This window comes from Homo sapiens, chromosome 19, assembly GCF_000001405.40.
Source record: "Homo sapiens chromosome 19, GRCh38.p14 Primary Assembly".
Classification (NCBI taxonomy): domain Eukaryota; kingdom Metazoa; phylum Chordata; class Mammalia; order Primates; family Hominidae; genus Homo; species Homo sapiens.
In genome coordinates, this window is record NC_000019.10 from 56039441 (window position 1) to 56055590 (window position 16150).

Here is a 16150-nt window from a genome sequence, read left to right on the forward strand (position 1 = left end):
CAGTGAGACATCCAGGCTCAGAGGGTGACATCTGAGCTCTCGATCACACCCTGAGCTCTCGATCTTGGGTGTCATATTCTCAAGGGGAAGGGGCGTTCACTCCAAGTTCTCTTTACGGGAAAACACCTATCACTCATGTAGCAGACTGTTTCTGGAATCACTTCAGTGCTACATAAAAAGCTGCTTAAATGGCCAGGTGTGGTGGCTCACGCCTGTAACCCAGCACTTTGGGAGGCCGAGGCGGGCGGATCACCTGAGGTCGGCAGTTCAAGACCAGCCTGGCCAACGTGGTGAAACCCCATCTCTACTAAAAATACAAAAAAATTAGCTGTGCATGGTGGCAGGCGCCTGCAATCCCAGCTACTCGGGAGGCTGAGGCAGGAGACTCACTTAAACCCGGGAGGCGTAGGTTGTGGTGAGCCAAGGTCACGCCATTGCACTCCAGCCTGGGCAACAAGCGCAAAACTCCATCTCAAAAGCAGACAGAGTATCTAGTTTATGCCTAAGGGTCATGATGTGTTAGATGTAGTTTTGGGGGGTGGTCTTGCTCACTGTTCTGGAGTACAGTGGCACAATCACAGCTCACTGCAGCCTCTACCTCCCAGGCTCCAGGGATCCTCCTGCCTCAGCTTCCCAAGTAGCTGGGACTACATGCATGTACCACCATGCCCGGCTAATTTTTTCTTTTTAGAGACAGAGTCTTGCTATGTTGCCCAGGCTGGTCTCGAACTCCTGGGCTCAAACAGTCCTCCTGCCTCAGCCTCTCAAAGTGCTGGGATTACAAACACAAACCACGGTGCCCGCCCTAAGTGTACTTTTAAATTGGAAAAATTGGCCCAGTACAGTGGCTCACGCCTGTAATCCCAACACTTTGGGAGGCTGAGGCAGGCAGATCCCCTGAGGTCAGGAGTTGGAGGCCAGCTTCGAGACCAGCCTGACCAATATGGTGAAGCCCTGTCTCTACCATAAATACAAAAATTAGTCAAACATGGTGGTGCATGCCTATGATCCCAGCTACTCAGGAGGCTGAGGCCGGAGAATCATTTGAACCTGAGAGCAGAGGTTGCAGTGAGCTGAGATCATGCCACTGCACTCCAGCCTGGGCAACAGAGCGAGACTCCATCTCAAATAAATAAAAATAAATAAGAAAATAAATAAATTGGAAAAATTACTCATTCCGGCAAAGCCTTACATCATAGCCATGTGGGGACTGGAAATGGCTGAGCAGTGATTGTTGCCCAGCCATTCCCCATTGTGACTGGCAGATCTAATCACCCACAATACTTAGAGTATTCTTTTGGGGCTGATGCACTGGAGTTGAGTTTGCAAGTTAAAGGCAGAGAGGATGCGACTTCACCATATGTCTGCAAGGACATGCCAACTATGGGGGTGATACGTCTTTCCCCTCCTTGTAAAGGAGGGAAAGATGGAACTTTAAGAAGGCATCTCATCATGTCCTCTCTGGGGCTCTCTTCTTGCAGACTGGAGGACTGTGGCATCACAGCCACGGGTTGCCAGAGTCTGGCCTCAGCCCTCGTCAGCAACCGGAGCTTGACACACCTGTGCCTATCCAACAACAGCCTGGGGAACGAAGGTGTAAATCTACTGTGTCGATCCATGAGGCTTCCCCACTGTAGTCTGCAGAGGCTGATGTGAGTCTGGCTTGCTCCCCTGCAAGGACTTCCTAGCTTTCTAACATAGCATGGTGTAGCTCTCAAAGCAGAAGGCAGTGGGGAGGGGGTGTGGACATCATCACATGAAGGGACCTGGTATATGCTGAATTCTGTCCATGTCTCCTAGGTTTCATCCTTTCTTGGAAAATTCTGTGTCTGCCTTTGTGTTATCTTACAGTGGGAAGTCATTTGTTCAAGGACAGTCAGTTCTCATAATTGGAGGTCATCATGTTCTACAAAGTCACTCTTGAGCACTGAACCAGCCAGCATGGAGCCATTGCCCCTGGGAGAGGTACAGGGTTAGCTTCCTGTGAACCTCTAGTCACGTTTTCATCAATCGATGAAAATGTATTTCATGTTTCTGTTCAATGACTTTTACTTGATACACATCGTTGATTCGTTAACATTGAGCACATGACCAACGGCACCGTGACTCGTGCCTGACAAAGCCTATCTGACACAAGTGATGGACCTCACAGCCTCCCCACGCTCCCCAGCATTGGAGAGCACTTTGGCGCTATGCTAGGAGGTCATTTTAAACAACACTATTGCAGCGGGGCGCGGTGGCTCACACCTGTAACCCCAGCACTTTGGGAGGCTGAGGCAGGTGGATCATTTGAGCTCAGGAGTTCAAGACCAGCCTGGCCAACATGGTGAAATCCCATCTCTACTAAAAATACAAAAAATTAGCCGGGTGTGGTGGCGCATACCTGTAATCCCAGCGACTCAGGAGGCTGAGGCAGGACAACCACTTGAACCTGCGAGGTGGAGGTGGCAGTGAGCTGGCATGAGCTGAGATTGTGCCATTGCACGCCAGCCTGGGCAACAGAGTGAGACTGCATCACAAAACAAACAAAATTGCCCACAAAAAGCACAAAAATCCAACAAACACGGCACTAAATACCCTCAAAAAGGACATTGTTGACAGTGGAGAGCTGAAATCAGTTCAGCCTCCACTGGGAGCAACGTGTGTCTGGAGACTCAAGTTCTTCTCTGCTCTGCACACATGCATGACCAGGAAGGACTGAGCACTCCCGGTATTGATTTGGAGAATTACCAACACATTATAGCAAGTAGGAAAATTCACAAATACAGAATCCATAAATAATGAGGATCAATTGTGTTGATTACTACTGCATTTATTAGTTGCTAGTGATACAGACACAATACAGATGCAGTTCTCATTATTTTTCCAAAAGTTATTGGGGTACAGGTGGTTACATGAGTAAGTTCTTTTCTTGTTGTGTTTTGAGACAGTTTGGCTCTGTCACCCAGGTTGGAGTGGCATGGCGCAATCTCAGCTCACTGCAACCTCCACCTCCCCTCCCAGGTTCAAGCGATTCTCCTGCTTCAGCCTCCCAAGTAGATGAGATTACAGCTGTGCACCACCACACCTGGCTACTTTTTGTATTTTTAGTAGAGGCAGGGTTTCACCATGTTGTCTAGGCTTGTCTTGAACTCCTGACCACAGGTGATCTGCCTGCCTCCCAGAGTGCTGGGATTACAGGCATGAGCCACCATGCCCAGCCAGGTTACATGAGTAAGTTCTTTAGTGGTGATTTGTGATATTTTGGTGCACCCATCACTCAAGCAGTGTACACTGCACCATGTTTGAAGTCTTTTATCCCTCGCCTCCCTCCCATTCTTCCCCCAAAATCCCCAAAGTCCATTGTATCATTCTTATGCCTTTGTGTCCTCATAGCTTAGCTCCCACATATCAGTGAAAATATACGATGTTTGGTTTTCCATTCCTGAGTTACTTCACTTAGAATAATAGTCTCCAACTCATCCAGGTCACTGCAAATGCTGTTAATTCATTCCTTTTTATGGCTGCATAGTATTCCATCATATATGTATGTGTGTGTGTGTGTGTTTCTTTATCCACTCATTGATTGATGGGTATTTGGGTTGGTTCCACGATTTTGCAATTGTCAGTTGTCCTGCTATAAATATATGGGTACAAGTATCTTTTTCGAATATTGACTACTTTTTCTCTGGGTGGATGCCCAGTAGTGGGATTGCTGGGTCAAATGGTAGTTGTACTTTTAGTTCTTTAAGGAATCTCCACACTGCTTTCCATAGCGGCTGTACTAGTTTACTTTCCCACCAGCAGAGTGGATGCGTTCCCTGATCACCACATCCACCCCAGCATCTACTGTTTTTTTATGTTTTGATTATGGCCATTCTTGCAAGGGCGATGTGGTATCACATTGTGGTTTTGATTGCATTTCCCTGATTATTAGTGATGTTGAGCCTTTTTCATACGTTTGTTGGCCATTTGTATATCTTGAGAATTGTCTATTCATGTCCTTAGCCCACTTTTTGATGGGATTGTTTTTTCTTGGATTTGTTTGAGTTCGTTGTAGACTCGACTCTAGATTGTGAAGATTTTCTCCTACTCTATGGATTGTCTGTTTACTCTGCTATTCTTTTTTTTTTTTTTTTTTTTTTTTTTTTTTTTTTTTTTTTTGAGATGGAGTCTCGCTCTGTCGCCCAGGCTGCAGTGCAGTGGCGTGATCTCCGGTCACTGCAAGCTCTGCCTCCTGGGTTCATGCCATTCTCCTGCCTCAGCCTCTCGAGTAGCTGGTAGCTGGGACTACAGGCGCCCACCACCACACCCGGCTAATTTTTTTGTGTGTGTTTTTAGTAGAGACAGGGTTTCACCACGTTAGCCAGGATGGTCTCGATCTCCTGACCTTGTGATTTGCCCTCCTCAGCCTCCCAAAGTGCTGGGATTACAGGCGTGAGCCACCACGCCTGGCCTCTGCTGACTATTCTTTTGCTGTGCAAAAGCTCTTTGGTTCAATTAGGTCCCAGCTATTTATCTTTATTTTTATTGCATTCACTTTTGGGTTCTTGGTCATGAAATCCTTGCCTAAGCCAATGTCTCGAAGGGTTTTTCCCATGTTATCTTCTAGAATTTTTAGAATTTTTATAGTTTTAAGTCTTAGGTCTTTTTTTTTTTTTGGAGACAGAGTCTTGCTCTGTCACCCAGGCTGGAGTGCAGTGGCACGATCTGAGCTCACTGCAACCTCCACCTCCCAGGTTCAAGTGATTCTCCTGCCTCAGCCTCCCCAGTAGCTGAGATTACAGGCACCCGCCACCATGCCCAGCTAATTTTTGTATTTTTAGTAGAGACGGGGTTTCACTGTGTTAGCCAGGCTGGTCTCGAACTCCTGATATGCCCACCTCAGCCTCCCAAAGTGCTGGGATTACAGGCGTGAGCCGCCACACCCGGCCAGGTTTAAGTCTCTAATACATCTTGAGCTGATTTTTGTGTTAGGTGAGAGATGAGGATCCGGTTTCATTCTCCGACATGTGGCTAGCCAATTATCTCAGCACCGTTTGTCGAAAAGGGTGTCCTTTCTCCACTTTAGGTTTTTGTTTGCTTTGTTGAAGATCCGTTGGCTGTAAGTATTTGGGTTTATTTCTGGGTTCTCTATTCTGTTTCGTTGGTCTATGTGCCTATTTTTGCACGAGTACCACACTGTTTTGGTGACTATGCCTTATAGTTTGAAATCAGGTAGTGTGATGCCTCCAGATTTGTTCTTTTTGCTGAGTTTTGCTTTGGCCATGCTGGCTCTTTTTTTGGTTCCATTTGAATTTTAGAATTGTTTAATTCTGTGAAGAATGATGGTGGTATTTTGATGGGGATTGCGTTGAATTTTGTAGATTGCTTTGGCAGCATAGTCATTTTCACAATATTGATTCTACCCATCCATGAGCATGGGATGTGTGTCCATTTGTTCGTGTCGTCTGTGATTTCTTTCAGCAATGTTTTGTAGTTTTCCTTGTAGAGGTCTTTTACCTCCTTGGTTAGGTATATTCCCAAGTTGTGTTGTGTTGTGTTGTGTTTTGCAGCTGTTGTAAAAGGGGTTGAGTTCTTGATTTGATTCTCCGCTTGGTTGCTGTTGGTGTATAGAACTATTGATTTGTGTACATTAATCTTGTATCTGGACACTTGAATTATTTTATCAGTTCTAGGAGCTTTCTGGAGGAGTCCTTAGAGCTTTCAAGGTAAACATTCATATTGTCAGCAAACAGTGACAGTTTGACTTTCCTGACTTGGATGCCCTTTTTATCTTTCTCTCGTCTGATTACTCTGGCTAGGACTTCCAGTACTGTGTTGAAGAGGAGTAGTGAGAGTGGGCATCCTTGTCTTTGTTATGCATGCATCTAAGTGAAGAGACAACCTGAACAGGCTAAGTGTGAGCAACAAGGCTGTGTATTCACTTGGGTGTGAGCGGGCTGAGTCTGAAAAGAGAGTCAGCGAAGGGTGATGGGATTGGAGCTAGTTTTTTTTTCTTTTTTTTATTATACTTTAAGTTTTAGGGTACATGTGCACAACATGCAGGTTAGTTACATATGTATACATGTGGCATGTTGGTATGCACCCATTAACTCATCATTTAACATTAGATATATCTCGTAATGCTATCCCTCCTCCGACCCCACAACAGGCCCCAGTGTGTGATGTTCCCCTTCCTGTGTCCATGTGTTCTCATTGTTCAATTCCCACCTATGAGTTGAGAACATGTGGTGTTTGGTTTTTTGTCCTTGGGATAGTCTGGAGCTAGTTTTATCGGTTAGGGATAAGCAGTGGAAAGTAACAGTCTGGGACCGTTTATTGCGGGCAGGGGAAGAATGTCACATGGTACACTGTCACAAGGTGGGAGGGGTCACAGGGCACAATGCCACAAGGTTGATTGATCAGTTAGGGTAGAGCATGTTACAATGATAGAATGTTGCAGGTTGGCTAATCAGCTAAGACAGGAGCTAGCTGTTTTTCTTCTGTGGTTTTCCTGTTATCCTAGACTTTCTGGCTCCAAGAGGCCTTCTGGATGTGTACATGTGGGTCACAGAGGTCACCATGGCTTGACCATGGTGCATCCTGCTCAGAAGACCTCAGTCTTATTCCAGTTCTCAAAGGGAATGCTTTCAACTTTTCCCCATTCAGTATTATGTTGGCTGTGGGTTTGTCATAGATAGCTTTTATTACATGAAGGTATGTCCCTTGTATGCCAACTTTGCTGAGAGTTTTAATCATAAAGCATTGCTGGATTTTGTCGAATGCTTTTCCTGCATCTATTGAAATCACGTGATTTTTATTTTTAATTCAGTTTATGTGGTGTATCACATTTATTGACTTGTACATGTTAAACCATCCCTGGTATGAAACCCACTTGATCATGGTGGATTATCTGACATGTTGTTGGATTTGGTTAGCTAGCATTTTGTTAAGGATTTTAGCATCTATGTTCATCAAGGATATTGCTTTGTAGTTTCGTGTGTGTGTGTGTGTGTGTGTGTTTCTGTTACGTCCTTCCCTGGTGTTGGTATTAGGGTGATGCTGGCTTCATAGAATGAATTAGGGAGGGTTCCTTCTTTCTCTATCTTGTGGAATAGTGTCGAAAGGATTGGTACCACTTCTTGTTTTTTTTTTCTGACACGGAGTCTCACTCTGTCGCCCAGGCTGGAGTGCAGTGGCGCGATCTCGGCTCACTGCAAGCTCTGCCTCCCGGGTTCACACCATTCTCCTGCCTCAGCCTCCCTAGTAGCTGGGACTACAGGCGCCCGCCACTGCGGCCGGCTAATTTTTTTTTTGTATTTTTAGTAGAGACGGGGTTTCACCGTGGTCTCGATCTCCTGACCTCGTGATCTGCCCGCCTCGGCCTCCCAAAGTGCTGGGATCACAGGCGTGAGCCATCGCGCCCAGCCACCACTTCTTCTTTGAACGTCTGGTAGAATTCTGTGAATCCGTCTGGTCCTGGACTTGTTGGTAATTTTTAAATTACCATTTCAATCTCACTGCTTGTTACTGGTCTGTTCAGGATATCTAATTCTTCCTGATTTAAGCTAGGAGGGTTGGATCTTTCTAGGAATTTATCCATGTCTTCTAGGTTTTCTAGTTTATGTGCATAAAGGTGTTCCTTATAGCCTTGAATGATCTTTTGTTTTCAGTGATGTCAGTTGTAGTATCTCCTGTTCCATTTCTCAGTGAGGTTATTTGGATTTTCTCTTCTCTTCTTGGTTAATCTTGCCAATAGTCTATCAATTTTATATTTTCAAAGAACCAGCTTTTTGTTTCATTTATCTTTTGTATTTTTTTGTTTCAGTTTCACTTAATTCTGCTCTGATCTTGGTTATTTCCTTTCTTCTGCTGGGTTTGGGGTTGGTTTGCTCTTGTTTCTCTACTTCCTTGAGGGTGTGACCTTATAGTATCAGTTGATGCTCTTTCAGCCTTTTTGATGTAGGCGTTGAGGGCTATGAACCTGTTAGCACTGCCTTTGCTGTATCCCAGAGGTTTTGATAGATTGTGTCATTGTTGTTCAGTCTGAAGAATTTTTTAATTTCTGTATTCATTTTTGACCCAGTGCTCATTCAGGAGCAGGTTATTTAATTTCCACGTGTTTGCATGGTTTTGAAGGTTCCTTTTGGAGTTGATTTCCAGTTTTATTCCACTGTGGTCTGAGAGAGTGCTTGATAAAATTTCAATTTTCTTAAATTTATTGAAGCTCATTCTATGGCCTGTTATGGTCTATCTTGGAGAAGGTTCCATGCACTGTTGATTAGAATGTGTATTCTGCAGTTGTTGGATGAAATGTTCTGTATAGATCTGCTATGTCCATTTGTTCCAAAGTATAGTTTAAATCCATTGTTTCTTTGACTTTCTGTCTTCATGACCTGTCCAGTGCTGTTAGTGGAGTATTGAAGTCCCCCAGTATTACTGTGTTGCTATCTATCTCATTTTTTAGGTCTATTAGCAATTGTTTTATGAATTTAGGACCTCCAGTGTTAGGCACATGTATGTTTAGAATTTTGATATTTTCCTGTTGGACAAGGATTATATAATTATATAATGTCCCTTTTTGTCTCCTTAACTGCTGTTGCTTTAACGTTTGTTTCATCTGATCTAAGAATAGTTACCCCTGCTCGCTTTTGGTGTCCATTTGCATGAAATGCCTTTTTGTACCCCTTTACTTTATGTGAGTCTTTATGTGCTAGGTGAGTCTCCTGAAGGCAGCAGATGGTTGGTTGGTGAGTTTTTTATTCTGCATTCTGTATCTTTTAAGTGGAGCGTTTGGACCGTTTACATTCAGTGTTAGGATGGAGATGTGAGGTACCATTGCATTCATCGTTCTCTTTGTTGCCTGTGTACCTTGGGTTTTGTTTTTTGTTTTTGCTTTTTAACTTATATTTTTGTTTTGTAAGTCCTGTGTGATTTATGCTTTAAAGAGGTTCTGTTTTGATGTGTTTCCAGGATTTGTTTCAAGATTTAGAGCTCCTTTTAGTGGAGTCTTGGTAATGGCAAAATTTCTCAGCATTTGTCTGTCTGAAAAAGACTGTATCTTTCCTTCATATAAAATGCTTAGTTTTGCTGGATACAAAATTCTTGGCTGATACTTGTTTTGTTCAAGGAACAAACAAGGGCCCCAAATCCCTTCTGGCTTGCAGGGTTTCTGTTGAGAAATCTGTTAATCTGATAGGTTTTCCTTCATAGGTTACCTGGTGCTTCTGTCTCACAGTTCTTAAGATTCTTTCCTTCATCTTAATTTTAGATAAGCTGATGACAATGTGCCTAGGTGAAGATCTTTTTGTGATTAATTTCCTGGGTGTTCTTTGTGCTTCTTGTATTTGGATGTCTAGTTCTCTAGAAAGGCCAGGGAAGTTTTCCTCAATTATGCACCCAAATATGTTTTCCAGGCCTTTAGAATTCTTTTTTCTCAGGAATACCAATTATTCTTAGGTTTGCATTTAACATAATCCCAGACTTCTGGAGGCTTTGTTCAAATATTCTTTTTTCTGTCTTTGGTGGATTGGGTTAATTCAAAGACCTTGACTTCAAGCTCTGATTTTTTTTTTTAATTTTTTTTTTTTTTTTTTTTGAGACAGAGTCTTGCTCTGTCACCCAGGCTGGAGTGCAGTGGTGCAATCTCGGCTCACTGCAACCTCCGCCTCCTGGACTCAAGCAATTCTCCTGCCTCAGCCTCCCAAGTAGCTGGGACTACAGGTGTGTGCCGCCACACCCAGCTAACTTATTTTTTATTTTTTATATTTATTTATTTATTTATTTATTTATTTAGAGACGGAGTTTTACTCTTGTTGCCCATGCTGGAGTGCAATGGTGCAATCTCAGCTCACTGCAACCTTTGCCTCCTGGGTTCAAGCGATTCTACTGCCTCAGCCTCCCGAGCAGCTGGGATTACAGGCATGCACCACCACGCCCAACTAATTTTTTGTATTTTTAGTAGAGATGGGGTTTCTCCATGTTGGTCAGGCTGGTATCGAACTTCCAACCTCGGGTGATCCACCCACCTCAGCCACCCAAAGTGCTGAGATTATAGGCATGAGCCACCGTGCCCAGCCTGTATTTTTAGTAGAGATAAGGTTTCACCATGTTGGCCAGGATGGTCTCGAACTCTTGACCTGGTGATCCTCCCGCCTTGGCCTCCCAAAGTGCTGCTGGGATTACAGGTGTGAGCCACCGTGCCCAGCCTGAATTTCTTTCTTCTACTTGTTCAATTCTATTGCTGAGACTTTCCAGACCATTTCACATTTCTAAAAATGTGTCTAAAGTTTCCTGATTTTTTTTTATTGTTTTTAAGCTATTTCCTTGAATATTTCTCCCTTTGCTTGTATCATATTTTGGATTTCCTTGCATTGGGCTTCACATTTCTCTAATCCCTCTCTGATTAGCTTAATAACTAAGCTCCTGTATTTTTTCAGGAAATTCGAGGATGTCTTCTTGGTTTGAATCCATTGCTGGTGAACTAGTGTGATTTTGGGGGGATGTTAAAGAGCCTTGTTTTGTCATATTACCAGAGTTGGTTTTCTGCCTCCTTCTCATTTGGGTAGGTTCTGTCAGAGGGAAGGTCTTAAACCTGGCCAGGTGTGGTGGCTGACACCTGTAATCCCAACACTTTGGGAGGCCAAGGTGGGCAGATCACCTGAGGTCAGGAGTTCGAGACCATCCTGGTCAACATCGTAAAACCCCATCTCTACTAAAAATACAAAAATTAGCCAGGCGTGGTGGTGCATGCCTGTAATCCCAGCTACTCAGAAGGCTGAGGCAGCAGAATCTCTTGTGTCCAGGAGGCAGAGGCTGCAGTGAACTGAGAGCTTGCCACTGCACTCCAGCCTGGGTGACAGAGCAAGACTCCTCAAAAAAAAAAAAGAAAAAAAAACAAATATGACCCCACCCTACACAGAAGCAGACTGCAGCTGGGAGGAGAGCAGCAGCTCACTTGAGGCCATGCTGGGGAATGAGCATCACGATCTTCTTTCCCATGTGTGTGCCCCACAGGCTGAATCAGTGCCACCTGGACACGGCTGGCTGTGGTTTTCTTGCACTTGCGCTTATGGGTAACTCATGGCTGACGCACCTGAGCCTTAGCATGAACCCTGTGGAAGACAATGGCGTGAAGCTTCTGTGCGAGGTCATGAGAGAACCATCTTGTCATCTCCAGGACCTGGAGTGAGTTTCCCATGGGCGTTGGGTCAACTCTATCATACTGGGGTCTGGAGTTCCTGAAAGGTCAAGAGATAGGAGCAGGGAGACCGGAACCAAAAACTGCTTTCAGGGTGAGCTGACACTCATTTTTCCAAGGGCAATCTAGGTAAACTGAGGTGTTGACACCACGGTGAGCATGGGAAGGGCCGATGGAGCCTCATGGGAGGAACCATGAGTTCTGAGAAGCCCTTGATACCTAAACACTGTGCATTCCTCAGAGGAAGGCATCTTGCCCTAAGTTCATCTTCAGCTATTTATCTGTATGGAGAAGGGAGAGTGCTTGTCTCTTAATCTCTTTCCCTCTGGGGCTCAAATTTCTTCACCCTTTGTTGAAATGTTTCTATTGAATAGGAATATCCCATTATTAAACAGACTGTAGAAAAAGTAAAAGAGCTCAGTGAGCAAAAATCGATCTTCAGTCTCACAACCATGCAGTCATCCCTGTTAGTGGTTTGGATGTCTTCTGGGGTTCTCTTGTTCTAGATGCAAGCGTGCATTTGATGTTTTACAAAGAAAGGATCATAGTAGTCAGCACTTAATGCAACTTAATGCGTTCTCTTTTTTTCTTTTTGTTTGTTTGTTTATTTATTTTGAGTCTTGCTCTGTTGCCCAGGCTAGAGTGCAGTGGCATGATCTCTGCTCACTGCAACCTCCGCGTTCCAGGTTTGAGCGATTTTTCTGCCTCAGCCTCCTGAGTAGCTGGGATTACAGGCATGTGCCACCAGTCCCGGCTAATTTTTGTACTTTTAGTAGAGACGGAGTTTCACCATGTCGGCCAGGCTGGTCTTGAACTCCTGACCTCAGGCAATCCACCCACTTTGGCCTCCCAAAGTGCTGGGATTACAGGTGTGAGCCACTGCACCCCGCCAAGCACTTAATGCATTCTTAACATGTGGCAGGCAGAGCACTAAATATTTTCTATATCTAATCTCATGTAGTCTCACCACCCCCCCATCATATCCAGTGGAGAACTGAACTCCCAAGAAACCAAAACTTTGGCATTGGTCTCACATTGTGTCTGAGGATATGTCTATTATAATAAATGAAGTACAGTAAGGTATTCCATTGAATGGTGTAGGCTTTAAAAATCTCCTAAAATTTAAAAATCTCCTAAAGCTGGACACGTACCTTATATCTAGTGTTTTCATCATGAGCATAAATGATTTCATTCCAAACGCTTGTATGCTTGGTAGCATTTGCTTATTCATTACAAAGGCAGAATTAATGGACCACAAGTGGGGTATCATTTTGAGATCTCTCCCTTCCCAAGAATAAAATAAAGGACTTTGGTATGGATTCTAGTTCACAAACTTCTGAGTGCCCCCAAGTATTAATTCTACCATTTGTTTTAATTGTTTCAAGCCCTACTTCTGCATGGTGTAGAATCTTAGTCAATTAGAGACATCATTTTTTTGAGATGGCATTTAAGTGCTGGGAGATTAACTGGATCTCTCCATCACCATTTATCCATGCTAGCGCCAATGACTAGGTCACCCCTACCTGGTCTTCAAGGGTTGGCCCTCACAACTGCATCCGTTTTTTCTTTTGTTTGTTTTTTGCTTTGCTTTGTTTTGGTTTGGATTTTTGTGTGTTTTGTTTGGTTTTGGTGGGGTTTTGTTTTGTTTTGTTTTTGTTTTTGTTTTTGTTTCTGTTTTTGTTTTGAGACAGAGGTTCTTTCTTGTTGCCCAGGCTGGAGTGCAATAGCGCAATCTCAGTTCCCTGCAACCTCCACCTCCTGGGTTCAAGCAATTCTCCTGCCTCAGCCTCCCGAGAAGCTGGGATTACAGGCACCTGCCACCATGCCCAGCTACTTTTTTGTATTTTTAGTAGAGACGGGGTTTCACCATGTTGGTCAGGCTGGTCTCAAACTCCTGACCTCAGGTGATCCACTCACCTTGGCCTCCCAAAGTGCTGGGATTAGAGGCGTGAGCCACTGTACCCAGCCTGCATCCCTCTTTATTCTTCACCCGATGGCTCCTGAGGATGGACCATCCCCCTCCCCAGTGCTATCATCCTACCCTTAGCCTCCCAAGCTGAAGACAGACTTGGAGGCCGTTTCAGTCATTTCTCCTGCGATAAACCATTCAGATGTTATTTATGGGGCCACCCACCCCATCTTCCCCATTTTTCCTAAGAATAGAAGCACAAAACTTCCCCTTTTGGATTCCAGACCTATCAGCATTTCAGTAACTTCTGTCCCCTTTTCTCTCCATCTTGGCTCTGTCAGAATCTTTCCAGTTTCTCCTCCTCCCCCGTGGAGAATCTTGACCTCATCTCCAAGTGGAAGCAAACTCTGCTGTGCTCATTTCTTTTAAAGATACCTTTAGCCAGGTGTGGTGGCACATGCCTGTAATCCCAGCTACTGGGGAGGCTGAGGCAGGAGAATTGCTTGAACCCAGGAGGTGGAGGTTGCAGTGAGCCGATATCGTGCCATTGCACTCCAGCCTGGGCAACAGAGTGAGACTTTGTCTTGAAAAAAATAAAAAATAGGCTGGGCGTAGTGGCTCAAGCCTGTAATCCCAGCACTTTGAGAGGCCGAGGCAGGCGGATCACCTGAGGTCAGGAGTTTGAGACCAGCCTTACCAACATGGAGAAACCCCGTCTCTACTAAAAATACAAAATTAGCTGGGCACAGTGGCACGTGCCTGTAATCCCAGCTATTCGGGAGGCTGAGGAAGGGAGAATAGCTTGAACCTGGGAGGTGGAGGTTGCAGTGAGCCGAGATCACACCATTGCACTCCAGCATGGGCAACAAGAGCAAAACTCCATCTCAAAAAAAATTAATTAAAAAATAAAGATACCTTCAATCACACCAGACACTTTCCCCGCCTCCGCTATCATTCCTCTCTCAAGCCAACAGATACCACGTGGTCTAAGCTGTTCACAGGAGTGGACAAAACAGTGGCCCGTCAGGAAGGAATAAAGGAAACTCCAGTTAATGCTGCTGAACCTTCTCCCGCTGTTCCACTTTCCTCGAGAGAGGCAGACTCTCTCTATTCCCCGCCTCTTGCAGGTTGGTAAAGTGTCATCTCACCGCCGCGTGCTGTGAGAGTCTGTCCTGTGTGATCTCGAGGAGCAGACACCTGAAGAGCCTGGATCTCACGGACAATGCCCTGGGTGACGGTGGGGTTGCTGCGCTGTGCGAGGGACTGAAGCAAAAGAACAGTGTTCTGGCGAGACTCGGGTAACTTCCTGGGGCGCCTCTTTGCGGGCCGGGCTGGGAGGAGGTGGGGGACCCCAGCATGAGGTTGCTTGAACAGGGATGATGATGATCTGGTTTCCATGAGTCCCTCAAGTTAGATGGAGTGCAACCTTCGCAGCACCACAGATCTGGGTATAAGTTCCAGCTCGGCTCCTATGGATGAGACGGATGAAGTGGCAAATGCTTGGGAACAAGGTCTGGAGGTAGAAAACCCTCAACTGCCGATTGAACGACCCCTGCGTGCTAGTCCTGGTGCTAAATGGCGGAAGTATGGAAGTGAAAAGACCTTTGTGTTGTAGTGTGAACAGTCTAGAGACAAAGACGGGCAGAAAGCAAGTGATTACCTGAGTGGTCCTTAAAACTTCAGTGAGCATCAGAGCCAGCCAGGGGCTTAAGACAGAGCTCCAATATAGTGGACTATGGTTCAGCCATGAAAAGAAAAGTGCTGAGGCTGGGCACAGGGGCTCACGCCTGTAACACCAGCACTTTGGGAGGCCAAGGTGGGCAGATCACTTGAGGTCAGGAGTTCAAGACCAGCTGGGCCAACACTGGGAAACCCTGTCTCTACTAAAAATACAAAAATTAGCCAGGTGTGGTGGCGCATGCTTGTAATCCCAGCTATTCGGGAGGCTGAGGCAGGAGAATCACTTGAACCCAGGAGGTGGAGGTTGCAGTGAGCCGAGACCACACCACTGCACTCCAGCTTGGGTGACAGAGTGAGACTCCATCTCAAAAAAAGTGAAAAAAAAAAAAAAAAACGTGCTGATACGTTCCACCACATGGATGAGCCTTGAAAACGTCGTGCTGAGTGAAAGAAGCCAGCCACAAAAGGTCACCTGGTGTATAATTCCATTTGTATAAAATACCCAAAACAGTCAAGTTCGTACATAAAGTAGAGGGGTTGTCATGGCTAGAGGGAATGGGAAGTAGAAGGGGGGCAGCTGAATTGGTATGGGGTTTCCTTTTACGGTGATGGAAATATTCTGGAAGCTAGCAGAGGTGGCTGCAGCGCACTGTGAACTACTCTAGAATGGAATGTTTACCATGTGTGAGCACTGACCATGCACTAGTCTTGTATGTGTGCTGCTTATAACCCTCCATGGCACTAGGGGAGGTCACATTCCTATTGTGTTGAGTAAGAGGCTTTAATCTGGGCACCCCTCCCCTTTTTTTTTTTTTTTTTTTTTTTTTGAGACAGAGTCTTACTCTGTCACCCAGGCTGGAGTGCAGTGGCACAATCTCGGCTCCCTGGAATCTCCGCCTTCCGAGTTCAAGCCTCAGCCTCCCGAGTAGCTGGGACTACAGGTGCCTGCCACCATGCCCGGCTACTTTTTTTTGTATGTTTAGCAGAGACAGGGTTTCACCGTGTTAGCCAGGCTGCTTTTAAACTTCTGACCTCAAGTGATCCGCCGGCCTCAGCCTCCCAAAGTGCTGGGATGACAGGCGTGAGCCACCGCGCCTGGCCGGGACCCTTTTCCTTCTTGAAGTCACACATTGTTCTTCAAGCTCATCACACCTTGGTTCTCTGTCCCCTCAACTTCTTTCTACGTGGTCATGTCCCTTCTTTAGTTCCTCTTCGATCTAGCTTTGTGTTTTATTTTTATGATTTTATTAAACTTTATCTTATTTCTTATTAAATCAAGGCTTACTTATCTTACTATAATACCATCACTCATCTTTTAGCTCCATGTTCTATTTTTCTTTCTCTGTCTTTTTTTTTTTTTTTTTTTTTTTTTTAAGATAGAGTCTTGCTCTGTCCCCCAG

General features: G+C 45.1%; 1 protein-coding gene across 1 annotated transcript in view; it reads left to right on the forward strand.

The window, feature by feature from the left end:
• The window catches only part of NLRP5 (NLR family pyrin domain containing 5), a 75036-nt gene that overhangs the window by 52666 nt on the left and 6220 nt on the right, over positions 1–16150 (forward strand). The window contains exons 11-13 of the mRNA NM_001433705.1: positions 1482–1652; positions 10978–11148; positions 14198–14368. Of these exons, the coding sequence (NP_001420634.1) occupies positions 1482–1652; positions 10978–11148; positions 14198–14368 (513 nt within the window). The remainder of the gene's footprint in view (positions 1–1481; positions 1653–10977; positions 11149–14197; positions 14369–16150) is intronic.